The following is a 20,301-nucleotide window of genomic DNA, read 5'->3' as shown; positions in this document are numbered from 1 at the left end:
TCGCCAAATATATCTGAAACACATCCTCCCATGGATTCTGAAATAGGGAGCTCCCTTTTAGAAATGCCTAGCAAAGAACAGCTCAAGGAAGAGTTCACATATTGTATAAATTTTAGGTTTGCTATTCATTCTCAGAATATCAACCTATTGTGTAACTTGATTTTGTTTAAAAATAATAACAAAGTTACTATTTTGTGCTTTGCAGTATGATAATTAAATAGAAAAATTTCAAGGGCAGAGTCTGCCTAAGAATTTGATAAGACATTCCATAACCATCTGCTACATACCATTTATTTAGACAGATACCAAATTATATCAAAAGATATAGGTGAAACATTTTTCCAGGGCCATTTTCCCAAGTCAGCCAGCTCAGAGGCTGACCCAGATAAGTCTTAAGCTGTGGCCAGGGCCAACTACTTTGATAAAGAGATGCTCAGAAGCTGAGTGGTGAGATCACTGGCTTGCTTGATGTGTCAGTCACTCTAGGTCACACTAACTTGGGAACCCTTGCCTCACCAGACGGGGCACCAACCTGGCAAGAAGAACAAATACCAACAGCACGTTATCGCCAAAGGGTGTTGGACTCCACAGATATTCCATTGAATAGCATCAAGGAAAGAACGAAATATTTCTAGTACTACACCTCCTCAAGGCTGAAGATTAAAATGCAGGGGTGGTAAACCAGTGATGGTGAATTTTTAAAAGAAACTGAAAACACATGAATCATGAGATTGAAAAGCAACCAAATGATGACCACATTCAGCTACGGGGAGTCCCGGAGGGGATCCGAGCGGAATGAGGAATGGATGGGCCCAAACAGTGTATTTGGCTTCCTAAAGGTTTTATTTTTTCTCCTTTCTCTACTCTCTCTCTCTTTCAATTCTTAAGAATTTAGGCCTCATGGCTTCATCTTTGAGCTCTGTGTTAATTTGAATATGGCAAAAATAGAACAGGAAGTCAGTGAGTTTCACTAAACGTCATCCCCAAGCACAATACCTTTAGCATGTCACCGGCTTCTGACATTTGGGGAACCCTGCTCCCAATAAGCACATCTGTGTTCCACCTCCCACTACATCTGTGTCAGTTTCTTCTCCAACATTATAACCATGGGGATTTTCATCGGCAATTCTCCAAAGCCATAAATTTATCTGACCCTTGATGGCTAGCTCATCCGTCAAAGACATTAAGTTCAAATTAAACCGCCTGTCAATGTCAGAGAGAGTTTGCAACGGAGAGACAAGCACTGCTGGATTGAAAAACAGAATGACGAAGCTGGTTCTTTCGGTTGTATCTGAAATAGATCATGACTGTCAAAAACTCCCTGCCTCTCATGGGCACTCCGGTTTGTGTAAGGCACTTCCTCTGCCTATAAGAAAAAAAAAAATAAGCCAATTCCGAAGAGACTGGAGTACAAATATTTTTGTTGGCTCTTAATGCTGCCTGGGAGTCAAAGCCTAAGGCTGCCAAAAAAACAAGTGTAAAATATTTCATACAAATAGTGCTACAATTTGCCAATTTGTAGGCAGAAAACAGTAGTGCCACTGAGTTATCACTCCCTTTTCTGAACTCCTATAGCATTTCTTGTCAGAAGTACATATTTCGGTATTTAATCATATGCTGCCTCGAATTACAACTTAACTATTTCATAAGTCTATCTCAGTTCTCCCCAAGTAAGCTCTAAGCTCCTCAAAGAAGGGAGAAGGTCTTTAATATTTCTTTAGCAAATCCCTCAGTGTCTGGCAGCATGATATGCAAATACTAGGGTTTCAATAAATATTTTTGAATGAAAGGATGAAATATGAAATCTCTATAGGTCTTTTCTGTTGCTGATTTTTCTTTCTAGAGTTTTAATTCATGTCTGACTCCTCCTCATGCCAAAGAGACTATTTTTAAAACAAGCAAAAAGTTTAAATCTGGGGACAAATTGGGGGTGAGGTTTCCATTTTACTTTTTGAAAAAAAAAGGGAAAAGAAAGTATAAAATGAACCTTTCATTTTTTATTCTGCATAAGGCAAAAACAAAATCTAACCATGTTAAGCAACTAAACATAAATTCCTTGTTTTTATATATATATAAAAAAACAACCCACCACCTCTGAACTCCTATTCTTTGCCTCTCACCAGTACAAATAAAAAATGAAAAAATAAAAAGCAAACCATGACACCAAGTATGTATAACCAGATGGCCAGCCAACAACAGTATCTTATTACTTCTCAAATACTGCAGATTATAAAATCTTCATGACAGCATATTACTCATACATTTACATTTCTTACAGAGCAGATCTTATAGCTCCCATATTTTAGTAAACAAAGCTAGTTACTCTGAAATAATTCCTTTTGAAAGCTATCACTCTAATTCCTGCGTATCAACAAGAGCAACGGTCAAGTGCATAAACACTTGAGCCACTGCCCTAATTAAATTAAAATCTCATTGTCACACAGGACTCTTAGTGAGGCTGATTCTTCAGTGATGCACTCTCAGATAGGCTGATATCTTAATGGCTTCATTTCAATTTCTTCAGGCCAAGAATAGGAGGAAAATTGGATTTGGATAAGAATGGACATATTCTAGGGAAACTGGTAGAGATATATTTGCTTTCTTGACTTACTATTACTTTTGCTCCATCCTCTACTGAGGATCTATCCCAAAGTCCTCAGACTCCCAGTCAGTATTTTATTTTTCTAGTCCTTATTTCCACTTAGAGCTAATACTTTCATGATAAAGCCTGCAGGCAGACACAAGCCTATTTGCAAATTAGAATACAGAACCTGCCCAAATGCAAAGAAAAGATTGCCTGAAGGAAAAAAAAAAAAATCCCCCAAACCAAAAAGTTAATTTAAAAAGACTTCCCTTATGTGAAAAACACTGTATGTAGAAACAATTCAGTCAATGAAACTATTTAAGAAAGCTGTTCTTGTTAGTTTGCTATAAAATCTGCTGTAGAGCTTAATGTATTCGAGATAATACTAGAGTTTGATATTGGCATTCAACTATATAAGTATGTAACCGCCCCCTCCCTCACCCCCAACAGATTTAAAAAAAAAAAAAGTTCCAAACCTACTCCGGCCCCAAGTCATAAACAGGAAGGTCCCAGACACTTGTTTCTAAGTTCACTGTTTGAAAACTTAGAAAGTCTTTATATACAGTGGGTTTGCTTCCTGGGTTCATAGAAATATGTGTAACCCATAATATCCCTGAATAATTACCCCACCACAGACTGGCATGGAGGAAACATTACTGTGTGCCAGGCACTGATGGGAGTGTTTGCAGTTAGTTCTCACAACAACCTCACTCTTTACGGATGAAACAGAAGCTCAGAGAAGTACAGTAACATATCAAGGCCACATAGCTGCCAAGTGGCAGAAGTCTGATTTCAGAGCCCACAAACTTGGCCCCCTGGCTTCATGCCTTCCTATAGATCCTAACCACCACTTAATAGAGGACATTCATAGTTCCTCCTGGCTTCCTGGGACCTCAACCAGTGGTTGCAGGGTGGAGCTGGGCCAGGATGAGGACACAGGGATGGGGACCCCAGAAACAGAGAAGACAGAAGGTAAGGCAGAGACTGTAGGATGAAGCGGTTAGCAAGGATTTGGGGGAGAACACAGAAGTGGGCATTCTGAGAGGCCTCTAATTTTCCTCTATCACTAGCTGTGAATACAACACAACCACACAACTAGCAAGAGGTTAAAATTTCAGGCGGCCCTGGACTTAGAAATCCATTCTACTCCCAAAAAGGTTTTCTTGCAAACCATCTGTTTCTAATATAAAATGCATTTTTCCCCCATAGAAATAATGTTATAAACAGTGATTAGGTTTCCAGGTTAGCCCACAAAACCTACTTATCCATAATGTAACTTTACTACTATATATTTGCAATAAACAATAGCAGAAAACAATGAGATTGCAGCCATTTGCATTATATAGCAGTTTTCTTCTTTACTTATTTGTGTTTCTGCTCAGCTGGTAGTGTGGGAACAGCGCCCAGCTGGATCGACTTTTAAATTTATTATTACAGTATTGTATTTATACAGCATTTCTATTTTTTTAATGGGCATGGCTTAAATTATTAATTGTTTTCATGCCAACATAAAGAACAGGGAGGCCCACCTCTGAAAAGGAGCTGAAGTTTCCAAGCAGGTGAAATACCCATGGGCCGGGCTGGGGGACCTTGAGAAGCCAACTCTGTTAGGCTAGAATCTTGCAGTAAAAATTTACCACTTACTCAACCTTGAAATAGAAACTCTGAACTCAGAAATGTAACTTCTACTTCCTGCCACTCAAATTTCATCAGCATCCTCTAATCTAATTGTTCACCAAGAGCAGACAGTCCCTGAAGGAATCTGATAACTACATATCAGGTAAGTGGCTTGAATGTGGGGGTTAGTGTGAACTGTTCCAAAGATTCTACACTGATATAATATCAGAAAACTTTTAACAAGGAAACAATCCAGCTTCTCTCTCTCCCAGGAAACAAGAGACTGCATCCATGCTGGGGGAGGGCTTTGCTATAAGAGCAACCCAAGGTCTTTTGCTAAGTGATTTGAAACAGATGTCTGCATTTTTAGGGAAGGCACAGAGCCCAGTGGAGGGGCGAGGTGGTCTCCAGAATCGGGGGACTTTCTTTACAATTGCCAGTCCATGAGATGAGGAAACCAAAGTCTACTGAATGGACGAGAATAGGAAGTCTGTGACAAACTAAACTTCAAATGAAAGGCCTCCAGACTCTTTAAGAGGGGAATGCCAAAACATAAGACCAAAATAACTTGCTGGGAAAGCTCAAAAATTGGATCTTCATCACTGAAGCTGAAAGTCAGTCTACATGATAAAATTATGCTAATAACAGAGACAATTAAAAGATTTTTTTTAAGCAAAAACATCTAACATGCCAGGCGATGTCTTTTCACATGATTTGATTCATTTATTATTCACAACAAACCTCTAAGTAGCTGCAATAATTGTCCCTGCTTCACAGATGTGGGAAACTGAGGCATAGCTGGTTCCATATTGCTTTCCTAAGGTCACAGGGATAGTAAGCAGAGGAGCTGACCTACTAAGTCAGGCAGTGTAGCCTCAAAGCCTGTGGTCTCATCAGCTACCTATATTGCCTCTCAGAATAGCTAATAGTGACTGAGCCCATCTGTCTTAGTCTGTTTTGTGTTGCTATAATAGAATACCACAGACTGGGTAATTTATAAAGACAAGAAATTTATTTTTTACAGTTCTGGAGGCTGGAGAGTCCAAGGTCGAGGGGCCTGCATCTGGCGAGGGCCTTATTGCTGAATCATCCCATGGCAGGAGGTGGAAGAGCAAGAGAGAGCGAGGGCATGCGCATGTGAACAAGAGAAAGAGACTGAATTTGCAGCCTGAAGCCCTTCTATGATTGGCATTAATCCATTCACAAAGGCAGAGCCCTCATGACCTAAACACCTCTCACTAGGTCCCACCTTTCAACAGAGTTGCATTGGGGATTAAATTCCCAACACACGCTTTTTAGGTGACATTTTCAAACCATCGCACCTTCCTAGTGCCCATAGGCCAGGCACTGTTTCTGGGGACTTCTGGGAATTAACACAGTAATCCTCACAACCAGCCCATGAAGTAGGTGTTATTGTTACCACCTCCATGTCAGAGGTTGAGAAACGGAGGTGCAGAGAGGTTAGTTAGCATGGTGTCTGGCACTGGCATCTATCTCTTACTACTACACCTAATTGCTCAAAAATTTTGAAGGCTTCCAGGGCAGCGACATCACAAATGCCAGCATAATAGCAAGTAGATTCTTCCAAGACATGAACATATAGGAAAATACAAGTTTTACTCAATTTCTCAGCATTTTTCAAACTGTGTTCCTGGATTTGTTTTGGTGTTAATATTAAAGTAGGGTTCTATTGCCAAGAAGCTTGGGAAACACTAGTTAAATAAAATTAAACAAGTCTCTCTGCTGCAGGACTTCTCAGAGCCTTGTAGATGCCACTGTGCTTTGTAACTTTCTGAGACAAGAATGAATGATGTACCATCTTCCAGCTTTTTTGTTGAAGGATGTTCTGAGGGATGAGAAATTCTAGTCACACATGTTGGGAACCACTACCTGGTCTGGTTTAATGAGCAATAATCCTCACGGCGGATCAAATTACAAAACTTTGTGCCTACTTTGGCTAGTTTGGGTAACTCTTGTACCCAAACGAATTCTAAGCATCCTCTACAACCCATGCTTACCCCCCACCTCTCACCTGGGTTCCTGCAGCAGCCAAATGAGGTCTCCCGCTTCCCACTTCCTGTTCCTCTCATCAACCTCCACATCAACATCTGGGTTACTCTTACGCACAGAGCTGATGATGTTACTCCCTGCTTAAAAATCTCTCATGACACCCTTTCTCCCATACCAGACTCTCCTGTCTACATGCCTTTCAGCACCTCAGTCTGCAATACATGTTTCCATGCCCATCTCTGACCCCAACACTGTGATCTGGCCCCTGCCTTCCTCTTCAAACTCATCCCCAGGTAAGTTTGGTTGATGAGTCTATCTCTCTAGACTGCAAGCTCCTAAAAACACCCATCCCTGGTATCTATTCCATAGTGCCTCGTGGAGAGCAGGCATTTGATAAACACATACAGGGCAAACAGGCCAGGCCCTCCCGAGCGTGTGCCATCCTCACTGCCCTGAACGTGCCTGGGCCTGCAACACTTGGTGAAATCACATTCCTTGTTCAAGGGCTATTTCAGTGTCTTCCTCTATGATGTTTGCTCAGACTCCAGGCAAAGCAGTCACTCCCTCCTCTGTGTCTCCATGACATTTACACATGCTCCTACTCTACACAGCATACTGCATTAGTTGCTGATTGCCTGCCTGTCTCTCCAGCTACACTGTAAATCCCCCAAAGGGAAAGGCCCACCTTATTCACCTTTGCACCCTCAGGGCCTAAGACCATACCTGGCATTCATTCTACAAATATTAACTGAGAGCCCATCAGATGCCAAACACTCCACTAGGAACTGCAGACACTTCCATGGATAAGCCAGTTAAGTTCCTTCTCTTATTGAGCTTACAGTCCAGAGAAGCACATAGACAAAAACCAAATAAACAGACAATCATTTAAAATAATTTCAAATTGAGGTACGTCTTCTGCAGAAACCAAAGATATAGTAGAAAGGAACCCACTTTAGACAGGCTAGTGAAGAAAGATGGCATTTCAGCTAAGCATTCAAGGGTGAGAACCATGTAGTCGGGTCAAGAGTAGTAGGAAGAGGCCAGTGCTAGTGGCTTATGCCTGTAATCCCAGCACTTTGGGAGGCCAGATCACTTGAGGCCAGGAGCTCAAGACCATCCTGGCCAACCTGGTGAAACCCTGTCTCTAATAAAAATACAAAAAATTAGCTGGGCGAGGTGGTGCATTCCTGTAATCCCAGCTACTCGGGAAGCTGAGGCACGAGAATTGCTTGAACTGGAGGCAGAGCCTGCAGTGAGTCGAGATCATGCCACTGCACTCCAGCCTGGGTGACAGAGCAAGACTCTGTCTCAAAAAAAAAAAAAAAAAAAAAAAAAAAAAAAAAAAAAAGTAGTGGGAAGAGCAGTCCAGGCAGAAGGAACAGCATGTGCAAAGTATCTGAGTGCACTTAAAGCATGGTCTCTGCAAGGAACTGATGAAATAGACCAGCTTGGCTAGAACTTAGTGAAGGAAGGAGGATAGTGGTTGTGCCATTTGCAAGCTGGTGACCTCAAGCAAGACATGTGCCCTCTCTGTGTTTCAGGCTCTCCATCTGCAGAAATGCAAATAATAGTTTTCACCTGATGAAGTTGGGAGAAAAATGTACATCTGTTCTAAGAGTTTACAATTATGCCTCAATAAATATTCATTATTATTATTATATTATATGGGAAAATGGAACAGAAAATTTAGGCAAAAAAATGGATGACATAAGCCAAAGACAAAATGGTAGTGATGAGAAAGGGATTTGGGCAATGAGGTTGACCAGATGCCCTTTGGCATTGCTCACACACCAGCTCAATGCCCAACATGCCTTTTCTATGTAAGGAGGCAGACACAATTCGAGGCTTCTTGGGGGATTCTTAATCACAGCTCTGTTTCCTCCTAAATATTAAAGGGTTCTTTGGAGTCCTTTCATACCTTGAGTACCAGCTATTAGAGCATTTTACACAGTGTATTGAAATTATTCCCACACTCACCTGTGAACTTCATCAGAGTAGACCCTCATTCATCTTTGTTTCCCCCAGGGCCTAGTACAGGACTTGGCCCATGGCTGGGATTCAACAAAAGGTAGCTGAATTGGATTAACAAGGAAATTTTAAAATGGCTAAATTCTTGTCTGTGTTTCAGTGATACCAGCAGAAGTCATTTCATTGATTTTTGTTCACTAGGTTGGCCTGTTCACTGGCGTGGTGGAAAAACAGCCTTTGTCTTGAAACTTTGAGCTATTTAGCACATAAAAAACACATTTGCAGACTGAAACACTCACACAAAATGGGTTTGTGGCCTTTGCTCCATGTGGTTCTTTTGTGGGCAATGAGTGTACTAAAAGTTGGTGTTTATTTCCAAATGCAAACCATGAACTAAATAATTTAGGGGAGCCATTTAAAAAAACAGCAGCATGGAAATAAAAATGGGAAAATGACACCTCTTGAGTCAGAAGGGTCTGGGTTCAAAGCTGCTCTCCCATATACTCCCTGTGTAACTGGGGGCCACATTCCTTAGCCTCTGTGGGCCTCAGTTTCTCCACCACTAAACAGGTGGCAATGATATTAAAACCCGATCCTCCTGAAAGCAATATCAAATCCCACATTTGGCCTATCAGAAACAGTGCACCCTCCATATAGCAGAATAAAAGCATCAAAATGTTTAAAAAGCAAAAAACAAAAGACTGGCAGGAAGGCTTCGAATGAAGACCTGAACATTGTGTTTGGATATGGAGGAGATGCTGGGAACAGGACAAATATTAGGTCACAGAGACAAGTGAAAACATTTGAGGAATATTTAAAGGCCAATCAATACATTCTTATGAAAGTGCATGCTGCCTGAGATAAGGTCATTTCAAAAAAATCTATTCCATTACAACATATATTTACTAAAAGGGATGTTCTTAATGGTGCTTGTTGGAAGTCAGAGAGCATCCATTAGAGATGGTGCAGGTAAGTAGCACGGAGGCTGAGGTCCGAGAACGTCAGTTACTAGCTCCACTAAACAAAAAACAAACCTGGCTGGGCATGGTGGCTCACGCCTGTAATCCCAGCAGTTTGGGAGGCCAAGGTAGGGGGATCACGAGGTCAAGAGATAGAGACCATACTGGCCAACATGGTGAAACCCCATCTCTACTAAAAATACAAAAATTAGGCGAGCATGGTGGCACGCGCCTGTAGTCAGTCCCAGCTTCTCAGGAGGCTGAGGCAGAAGAATCATTTGGACCTGGGAGGTGGAGGTTGCAGTGAGCCGAGATTGTGCCATTGCACTCCAGCCTGACAACAGAATGAGACTCCATCTAAAAAAACCAACCAACCAAACAAACAAACAAACAAAAAAGCCTGGCTTCTGAGCATGGCGAGCACTTTCCCAGTGCCAACTGTCTGGGACACCAAGGGTGGAGAGGTGCCCCTTAGCACTGCTATCCCCTTTGCCTTCTGCTTTGAAATACATAGAACTCATAGCTCCTCTCACAGCTGAAAAAGGAGGTAGAGAACCCACAGGACACAGGTTGACCCCCAGACCCCTTCTGGTGTTGGAAAGCCCCCCAAATCCCTTCCAGCATTCACAGTAACCCAGATGCATGGACTCAGCCCACACAACGGTAATTCAGTAATTCCCTGAGGCCCAAAGGACATATTCCTCTTTGCTCCCCACCGCTTCCACCCCACAGACAGTTGTCCTACTTGCTTCTACACAATTAGTCGGCACAATGGGGTCCTCACACGAGAAGGAGGGGCCATCCCCAATTCCATTATCATTATTGCTGTCATTAGAGCCTCACTGGACCATAAAGAAGTGTCACCGCACAGACGTCAAGCTTGAGATCTGCACAAGGACACATCCCGGATTGGAAGGAAAGGAGGAAGGCTCTTCTGTCTCAAATTGTCGGCCATTCCACTCAATAGTGCAATAGCCCATGAAGGCGGATAGCCCCAAAACTGAGTGGGTCCCTTTGGGTCTTGGCTCAGATGCCCCTTCTCACTGAGGCCTTCCAGGGCTCCCGTTTAAATTTAGCGCCCCCTGCCTCCAACTAGCGCTCCCCATTTCCTTTTTCTGCTTTATTTTCCTTCACAGCCCTGTTTACTCTGTGACATGTTCTCTCTTTCCTCATTTATTTTCACACTGTCCATCTTCCCTCATGTTGTGCGTTAAAGAGTGTTCCCCCAAATTCGTGCCCATCAGAACCTCAGAACGTGACCTTATGTAGAAATAGGGTCTTTGTAGATGTAAAGAGTTAAGGACGTCGAGATGAAATCATCCTGGATTTAGGGTGTCCCAGTGAATGGGAATTTTCTAGGAGAAAGGAGAGGGAGATTTGGACACACAGAAGAAGGTCATGTGAAGACCAAGGCAGAGATGGTTATCCTACCCCAAGCCAAGAAACACCAGGAGTCACCCGGAGCTGGGAGAGGTGAGGAAGGATTTGCCCCTATAGCCTCCAGAGGGAGCCCGGCTCTGCTGACACCTTGATTTCAGACTTCTGGCCTCCAGAACTGGGAGACGATAAATTTGTGTTGGTAGTAATTTGTTATGGCAGCCTTGGGAAACTAAAACACCTCACTAGAGGGAACTCCATGAGGGCAGGGATTTTTTTTTCAATTTTTATTTTCATTTTAAGTTCCAGGGTACATGTGCAGGATGTGTAGGTTTGTTACATAGGCAAATGTGTGCCAGGGTGGTTTGCTGCACCTATCAACTCATCAACTAGGTATTAAGCTCAGCTTGCATTAGCTGAGCCTATGTGTGTTGTCCCCTCCCTGTGTCCATGTGTTCTCATTGTTCACCTCCCACCTATAAGTGAGAACATGCGGTATTTGGTTTTCTGTTCCTGCGTTAGTTTGCTGAGGATAATGGCTTCCAGCTCCATCCACATCCCCAAAAGGACATGATCTCATTCCTTTTCATGGCTGCTCATTCCTTTTCATTCCATGGCACATATGTACCACATTTTCTTTATCCAGTCTATCATGGATGGGCATTTGGGTTGATTCCATGTCTTTGCTAATGTGAATAGTGCTGCAATGAACATACGTGTGGAGGGATTTTGACCTGTGTTACTCACTGCTAGTGCTTAGAATCCCAGTGCTTAGGACAGTGACTGACACATATCAGGTACTCAGTAAATACCTGTTAAATGAATGCATGGTTGCCTAAGCTTTCAAGATGGAGGGTTTTCTCTGACTCAGGTGGGCCCTGAGTGCCGTGTCTTTCTTATACATAGCAGTTATCACAAATGCTCCATTAGGGCCATTTGCTCCAGGCTCTCCCCTCTCCACCCACTGCCATGAGGGATAATGTCCCTTGCCTGTGTCTCTTTGTTTTGCTCTAATGGCTTAGGAGCTAGAGCTAAGCCCAGAGTTGAATCCATTACTTGTACAACCAGTAGTAGGCAGAATAATGGCCCCCAAAGATGTCCAGGTCCTAATCCCTGGAATGTGTGACTGTGTCACCTTACATGGTGTCTCAGTCCATTTTGTGTTGCTATTACAGAATACTACTAACTGGGAAATTTATAAAGAAAATAAATTTATTTTTTACAGTTCTAGAGACTGGGCAGTCCAGGGTCAAGGGGCCTGCATCTGGTGAGGGCCTTCTTGCTGCATCATTCCATGGTGGAAGGGCAAGAAAGCACGAGGGAGAGAGAGACAGAGAGAGAGAGAGAGAGAGAGAAAGGGGCCTAATGTATCATTTTATCAGGAACCTACTCCTGTGATAAGTAACCCACTCCTGCAATAACTAACCCACTCCTGTGATAATGTCATTAATCCATTCATGAGGACAGAGTCCTCATGACCTAATCACGTCCGAAAGGTTCCACCTCTCAAAACTGTTGCACTGGGGATTAAGTGTCCAATACATGAACTTTGGGGGATACATTCAAACCATAGGACATGGCAAAGGGGACTCTGCAGATGTGAGTAAGTGGAGGATCTTAAAATGGGCAGATTATTTTGGATTATCTGGGTGGGCCCAATGTAATCTGATGATGCCACACTGTTGGTTTTGAAGATGCAGGAAGGGACCATGAGCCAAGGAATGCTGGCTGCTTCCAAAAGCTGGAAAAGGCAAAGAAGGGCCTCCAGAAGGAGCACAGCCCTGTCAATGCTTTGGTTTCAGCCCAGTGAAACCCACTGCAGGCTTGTGACCTCCAGAACTGTAAGATCACAAGTGCATGTTGTTTTAAGCTGCCAAGTTTGTGGGAATTTGTTTCTGCAGCTGTGGGAAACTATACATAAGCTAAGGCTGTTCTCTAAGAAGTGGGGATTGTAATAGTGCTTTCTTCATGGGGTACCAGGAGGACTAAATGGAACATGGCACAGAACGTGCAAGGTAGTGTCTAATGTATGATAAGCATATTCTTCTCTACCCATGCACACTGTCTCCTGGCCAGGCCTGGACTCGAGGCAGGCTCCCTGTGGAAGGGGCACTGCAGCCGCCTTCTGAATGAGGAACAGTCACATCCATCTGGACTTTTCTACTGCAAAGCCTTCTGTGACCCTGTGTTAGTCCATTTTTTGCATAGCTATGAAGAAATACCTGAGACTGGATAATTTATAAAGAAAAGGGGTTTAATTGGCTCATGATTTTACAGGCTGTACAGGAAGCATGGGTAGTGTCTGCTCCTGGTGAGGGGCTCAGGAAGCTTCCAATCATGCTGGAAGCGAAGGGAGAACAGGTGTGTCACACGGCTAGGGTGGGAGCAAGACTGTGAGGGGGCAGGTGCCACACTCTCTTAAACAACCAGATCTCCTGTGAACTCAGAGTGAGAACTCGCTCACTATTGCCAAGGACAGCACCAAGCCATTCATGAGGGATCCGTTCCCATGACCCGACCCCTCCCAGCAGGCCCACCTCCAGTACTGGAGGTCACATTTCAACACGAGATTTGGAGGAGACAAAACATCTAAGCCCTATCGGGCCCTCTCTGCTGTATGTAGCTCACCTCTCATGATGACAGAACAGACTAACTCAGGCTACTGAAGAATATGGCCATAAATTACTGTGCACCATGGATTATACTGGTCAAGTTTCAGGGCAATCACAGTCCTGGTGGGAAGGATCCCAGCAGGTTAATGATAGGCCTGGGGGGCTTGAGGAAGGAGTGTCACTTGGAGAAGAACCCTCAAGACAGGAGAGCAAGATAAAAAAAGGAGCTGGGACGTGTCCACAAGCAACTCATGTAATTCTTTTCATTTGTTACTCTGGGGTGTTGGGGACAAATATGTTTAGCATTCAGATGGCAGTTTTCTCTCATGTGTTAAAAATACCCTTCTGTTATTCCCAACCCTTCAGAAAGTCTGATAGGAAGACTGACCACAGGGCCCTGCTGTTAGACCGAGCGAGAAATGATCTCTTTCACGATCTCATGCGTGGAACAGCCTAACTGCAGCTGAAGACCTAAAAACAGCCACCAGGGGCTGCTTGAAGGTCTTCCAACTGTCAACATGGAAGAAACATGTAGAAAAATATGGAGTGAATGTGAAATTTGTACAGATAATTGAAGGACGCATACAGATACCTTATAAGCAGCATGCCTGGGGGCCTTGCCTCCACCTGTGTGTACCCAGTGCAGGGTGGAGCACGAAGTGTTGGGAGGGTGAATGCAAGTGTGCTCTTTCCTGTAGGGCCCATTTTCTGAAGAGGACCCAGCCCTGATTCCATCATGGCACTAAAACCAGAGCAAGTGGGGCCCCATGGATGCACTGGGAGACGTACTACCTCTCCCAGTGGGGAGGTACATGAATTCGGAGAATAGCCACCAAGTAACTGACTCAGGACGAGATGTGACATAAACTCTCTCTTTACAAAACACACCAGAGGAAAGTGACCCAGGAAGGGTGGGGTGGGAGGCCGGGAGAGACTTGGATTAACGTGGTTCATCTTCCACACTGCCAGTGGGATAATCTTTTTAAAACACAAATATGGCGCTGGAAGGCCTCTGCTTAAAACCCTGTCATGAGTTCCCAGCACCCGCTAGTAAGGTCCACCCTGAGAGCCCACCCAGCATCTCCACCCACTTCCTTCCTTCTACAGCCAGTGCATAGAACTCCATCTGCCAGTCTCTCCACAGACCTCTCACTGCGCTGATTCTTCTGCCTGAAATGCCTCCCGACCACTCTTCCCCTGGTGAAGGTCTACCCAGGCTTCAAGGCCAATTTTAAGGCCACCTCCTCGTTGAAGCCTTTCCCAACCTCAGGGACAAGTAATGACTGCCTCCTTGGGCTTCCACCAAATGACAGTTGACACAACTTCGTTGCCTACCAGGAGCCAGGCACTGGGCCTACAATGATGTACGTTATGGAATTTAATTCTCTCAGCAAACCTCTGAGGCAGGTACTATTACTATTATTATTGAGACAAGGTCTCGTTCTGTCACCAAGGCTGGAGTGCAGTGGTACAATCACGGCTCACTGAAGCCTCAACCTCCTATGTTCAAATGATCCTTCCACCTCAGCCTCCAGAGTAGCTGGGACCACAGGCATGCGCCACCACACCCAGCTAATTTTTGTATTTTTTGTAGAGACAGGGTTTCACCATGTTGCCCAGGCTGGTCTTGAACTCCTGGGCTCAAGTGATTCACCCAACTCGGCCTCCCAAAGTGCCTGTAATCCCAGGATTATGTGCCTGTAATCCCAGCACTTTTTTGCAATACCTGGCCAATTATAAATGCCACTTTATAGAAGAGGAGAAGTGGCAGAGATAAGAAACTGGCAGGTCACACAAAGCCCAGATTCTATCCAAAGCAAAATGCATTTGGGACCTGATATCGTTTGGATCTGTGTCTCCACCCAAATCTCATGTTCAATTGTAATCCTCAGTGTTGGAGGTGGGGCCTGGTGAAAGGTGATTGGATCATGGGGGTGGGTCCTTCATGAATGGTTTAGCACCATTTCCTCAGTGCTGTTTTCGTGATGGTGAGTTCTCTTGAGATCTGGTTGTTTAAAAGTGTGTGGCACCTCCCCAACCCCCCTTTCCTCCTGTTCCAGCCATGTAAGACGTGCCCTGCTTTCCCTTCACCTTCTGCCATGATTGTAAGTTTCCTGAGGCCTCCCCAGAAGCTGAGCAGATGCCAGTATCGTGCTTCCTGTACAGCCAGCAGAACCATGAGCCAACTAACCTCTTTTCTTTATAAATTACCCAGTCTCAGGTATTTCATTATAGCAGTGCAAAAACAGACAAACACAGGACCTTTCCTCTGTCCTCATAGGCTGTCCTGCCCATGTTGCCAGTGTGGAAGTCCACCCCCCGCGTTTCCCATGCAGCCCAAACAGGCCACTCCTTCTACACTCCCTACTCAGTAACCGACACCTCTGTCCATCTGGTCACCCCAGCCAGATGCCTGCACTCCTTCCGCTGTAATCTCAACACCAGCTTCAATGCAATAACTCACCCCACTGCACACTCTGAGACTCAGCGCTGGTGTCTCTCAGAAGCCCTCCCACATTTGACTCAGGTGCCCATCTTTTGGGGTCTAACCTGGTGCCTAGCCCAGTGCCTGGGACACAGGAAGAATCAAGTGTACATGTGGGTATCACTTGTTTGTTTTCTTCATGAAGACTGAGATCAAAGGAGAAAGGATACATCTTCCAGAAAAACAGTGGCCACCTTGAGATTTTATTTTTCATTTTATGGCCCTATTTTTAGTGTGTCAGACTCAAAGGGGAATCTAATTAATCACTAAGCCCTGTCAATTCTATCTTCTAAATAGCTCTCTAATCCACCCACTTCCTTCCCTCACCACTACTATCATTCTAATTCAGTCCCTGGTCTCTTACTGGTTTACAGCCACCTGCTAACTGATCTGCCAGCTCTTCTCAGTCCCCTCCGGTCCACCTTGCACCCCAGAGTTCTCGTTCTAAAACACTCACCTGATCTGGTCGCACTTTTAATTAAAGCCCTGCAATGGCTCCCCAAGGTCCTTCCAACAAAATTCAAATTCTTTAATGTGAAGCTCGTCCACACTGAGCTTCAGGCCAAGCTCTCCTGGCCTTTGTACAGCCTGGTCCCTACACCAGCTTCCCCTGCCTCATCTTTACCTAGCTGATATCCCCCTACCCTTCAGGTTCAGATTAGATATCCCTTCCTCCAGGAAGCCTTCCTTGACCTGTTAAGTTTGGGTTAGATAATTTTATGTGCCCCCATGAAACCCTAAACTTCCCCCATGCTAGCTCTTATGACACTCTATTCATTTATCTCCTTTACTTATTGATAAGAGTGGATTATTGCTCCCAATTCTTCAATCCATCCTGTACTAGAATGACACACCCACACTACATTTTTGCCAGGTCACTTTGCAGAATCTTCCACTAGAGTAGGTGGAATATATTTCCCTACTCCATGGATATTGGGCTTGGCCATGCAGCTTGCTTTATCAATGGAATATTAGTCAGCATGATGTCAGCCAGGGCTTAGAACATGTTGTCTAGTTTAGCTTGGTCTCTCATGCTACTTCTATGTGCCTTAAGAAGAGCATGTACAGAATGAGAAACATGGGAAACAGACCTGAACTCAACCTTCAGCTTGACATTGACCCCACCCTTCTTCCCATAGCTGACAGGCTGACCCATGAGCATGAAAAACAAATGTAAATAAATGTTTGCTCTTTTAGACCACTAAGGATTTGGGGGTTGTTTGTTATACAGCATTACTAGATCAGAAACCTAACTGATACACATTATATCCCCCATTAGATTGCAAGCTCTATAGAGACAAGAAAGAACTGTATCCTGAGCACTGAGCATAGGACTTAGCACATTGTTGTGCTTAAAAAATATTTGTGATTGGATGTAGGATTGAATGAATGAATGTTGGCCATTGATAAGTCTGCCTTCCCAGCTAGCATGCGAGTTCCTTAAAGCCAAGAATGGCATCCGATTTCTCTCAATACTACCTAGCTATCTCATGCCCCAGATTAGGCTCTCACTAGGTGTTCAATAAATATTTGTTGAAATTAAATAATTTTGGATTTTATGGGCTGGCTTGGGAATCAATCCTTAATTTATGACATTGTTTCTATGGGAAAATGCATTCTGCATGCCAAACAAACTTGCAAATGAACTTTTGGAACCTCACCCATTCATTGGTTCGGGATTGCCAGTTTTGTGGAAATCCATAACTGAACACATGTGCTATGCTTTGCAATATGGGAGAAACTGAGAAACTGCTTCCAAACCCAAGATATTCAGCCTGCAAAAATTCACTTTCCACCCACACAGACAAATTCAGCACAGGTTGGATCTGAGGTTCCAACAATAAAATACTAGACTTTTTAGAGCTCATTGTTTATCTAATTGCTTTTTATCTACTTATACTAGATGCCTATTCCCTTTTTTTTTTTGAGATGGAGTTTCACTCTGTCACCCAGGCTGGATCTTGGCTCACTGCAACCTCCGTCTCCTGGGTTCAAGTGATTCTACTGCCTCAGCCTCCCGTGTTGCTGGGATTACAGGCATGCACCACCACACCTGGCTAATTTTTGTATTTTTAGTAGAGACAGGGTTTCACCATGTTGGCCAGGCTGGTGTTGAACTCTTGATCTCAGGTGATCCACCTACCTCAGCCTCCCAAAGTGCTGGGATTACAGGCGTGAGCCACCATGCCCAGTCTGGATGCCTATTCTTAACATCTGATCAAAAGGAAGTGAAGATAGTTTTCTTGCCTCTCCCCACCATTCCACTTTCTAGACATGTATGCAAGAAAACTCAACCTTCTCAACAGAGAAAATAAATTATTTTTCTAAATAAATCCATGACATTTAAAATAAACACAGTGGGATGCTCTACCATTATAAGAAAACATCCCCCTTTAGAATTCCTAATTTTGAATGGTACTGGGAGCTTCATATGAGTCACAGATATGAGACTTAGTTTCATTTCATTGTAGGCCAGAACCCAGGCTGTCTGAAACCAAGTGGTTTCTGACATGGCTGTGAAGGGCCATCGCTCCATGACTTCAGAATGTCTTATAAGATTTAAGGCACAAGTCTTAACCTGCTATTGGCAGAGTCGACCAATCACTCAGCCTATCTCATTCATTTAACTTATGTTTTTCTGAGCACATTTCAATAAAGAGAGGTAGAGAAGTAAGGTCATTCCTAATAGTGATGGGCCATGAAGAAAATAAAACAGTAATGTCACTGTGAGTAAGGGGAGGCTACTGAAGACTGGGTAGGCAGGTGCAGAGAGATGTGTGCTCTAGGACCAGACCGTCAAGAAAGAGTCTGCCATAGAAAGATGTGGGGAAGAATGTACTAGACTGAGGAAACAGCACATGCAAAGGCCCTGGGGCAGGAACATGCTTAGCATAGTCTTAAATCAGGATGTCTGGGGTTAAGTAAACAAAGGAGAGAATGGCATGAGAGGTCAGAGAAGTGGTGAAAGGCCAGATCACGGAAAGCCTGGTATGCAGGCCCTGGCAGCAAGGGAGTCAGACTGAGTTCTAAGATGGAAAGCCAGGGGAGGGTATTAAGCTGGGGAGTGACATAATCTGATTTGGATTTTAAATGAATCACTCTTCTTGGAGCGCACTGGGATAGGGGTGAGGGAGCAAGAGCAGAAGCAGGCTTTTGGCCAGGTGTGGTGGCCCACGTCTCTAATTCTAACACTTTGGGAGGCCCAGGAAGGAGGATTGCTTGAGCCCAGGAGTTCAAGACCAGCCTGGGCAACATGGTGAAACCCCGTCTCTACAAAATACAAAAAAAACCTGGGCATGGTGGTGCACACCTGTGGTCCCCACTACTTGGGAGACTGCAGTGGAAGGATCACCTGAGCCTGGGGAGGTCTAGGCTTTAGTGAGCTGTAATTGCACCACTGCACTCCAGCCTGGGTGACAGGATGAGACCCTGTCTCAAAACAAACAAAAGACTATAACTCACAGCCAGTTATCAACAGAAGCCCCCATGTCTTCAACCTCTTCTCTGATTGTTCCTTTCCCCTTCTCAATATTACTGAAACCAGCTCTCCTTCGAGGCCACAGCTTCCCCAGGCCCCTCTCAAGGCCTGGCTGCTTCCTCTCCCTCATCTAGCTGTCCTATTTGTGTCTTGCAGCCTCTTCTGGAAGATCCTTCTTCTCTCTTTCCAACACTTCCTCCCCAGCTTCAAAGCCCATGCTGTCAGCTCAAACCACCCCAGGTCCCTCCTCATTGTGATCATTACAGACCACCCCAGCCCTGGCCACTTCCCTTCGTTCCTTGAATATGTAGCTCCTCACTCTCTTGGTGACTGCGATTTCCACACAGATGATGGAGCCATTTAGTACTCTGGTAACCACCTCAGTTCCTTGACACCTCTCTGCCAATGATCTTGACAATCATATGGCAGACCCTGTCATTGCCAATAACTCCATCCCTCCATGACCTCAATATCAAGCCCCCACAGTCCAATAATTCCCCTTTCCAATTCTCTAGTTCCAACAATTTTTTTTTTTTTTGAGACAGGGTCTCACTTTGTCATCCAAGCTGGAAAGTAGAGGTGTGATCTCAGCTCACTGCAACTTCTACCTCTGGGACTCAAGCAAGCCTCCCACCTTAACCTCCCGAGTAGCTGGGACCAGAAGCACATACCACCACACTCAGCTAATGTTCATATTTTTTGTAGAGATGGGGTCTTTGCCATGTTGCCCAGGCTGGTCTCAAACTCTTGGGCTCAAGTGATCCACCCACTTTGGCCTCCCAAAAAGCTGGGAATATAGGTGTGAGTCACCGCGCCTGCCCCTAACAATCTTTAAACTCAACTTGAACTTCCAACACAGACCCTGCCACCTTTTCACATCCCTACCCCTATCAGGTCCTTATTTCCCTCCTTAGAGCCCAAGTGCCATCATTATATGAATCAACATCCATATCGATATCATCATCCATTCCTTACATGCTCCCTCAGCTCCCTGGCCACTCTCTCCTTTCTTGATGTATTTTCCGGCAAAGCCCCCAAACTGGCTAAAGCTAACTTTTTCTGAGTCTACAGCTATACCACCAAAGCTGAACGCAGCTTGAGAAAGACAAAACCATGCTTACAGCTCTCACTTCAAACACAGGACCATCAACCTCAAGTGGGCCCTAATGCTTCCTGGCAACCGCTCGATATTTCCCTATTCTATTCTCCCT

At 44.3% G+C, this 20,301-nt stretch overlaps 1 protein-coding gene across 5 annotated transcripts in view, besides 3 other annotated features; it reads right to left on the bottom strand.

The window, feature by feature from the left end:
• Nucleotides 1-20,301, bottom strand: part of PLXNC1 (plexin C1) — a 159,099-nt gene that overhangs the window by 98,368 nt on the left and 40,430 nt on the right. The gene's annotated exons all lie outside the window — the stretch shown is intronic.
• Nucleotides 600-859: an enhancer, noted in NCBI's record as "active region_6781". NCBI's record gives its function as "activates an Ori minimal core promoter by ATAC-STARR-seq in GM12878 lymphoblastoid cells {active_cell/tissue: GM12878}" and the evidence as "EXISTENCE:reporter gene assay evidence [ECO:0000049][PMID:35858748]".
• Nucleotides 1,510-1,579: an enhancer, noted in NCBI's record as "active region_6780". NCBI's record gives its function as "activates an Ori minimal core promoter by ATAC-STARR-seq in GM12878 lymphoblastoid cells {active_cell/tissue: GM12878}" and the evidence as "EXISTENCE:reporter gene assay evidence [ECO:0000049][PMID:35858748]".
• Nucleotides 4,530-4,579: an enhancer, noted in NCBI's record as "active region_6779". NCBI's record gives its function as "activates an Ori minimal core promoter by ATAC-STARR-seq in GM12878 lymphoblastoid cells {active_cell/tissue: GM12878}" and the evidence as "EXISTENCE:reporter gene assay evidence [ECO:0000049][PMID:35858748]".

The sequence above is a fragment of the Homo sapiens genome, chromosome 12 (genome assembly GCF_000001405.40).
Source record: "Homo sapiens chromosome 12, GRCh38.p14 Primary Assembly".
Classification (NCBI taxonomy): domain Eukaryota; kingdom Metazoa; phylum Chordata; class Mammalia; order Primates; family Hominidae; genus Homo; species Homo sapiens.
This window is presented reverse-complemented; position numbering and strand designations above follow the sequence as displayed.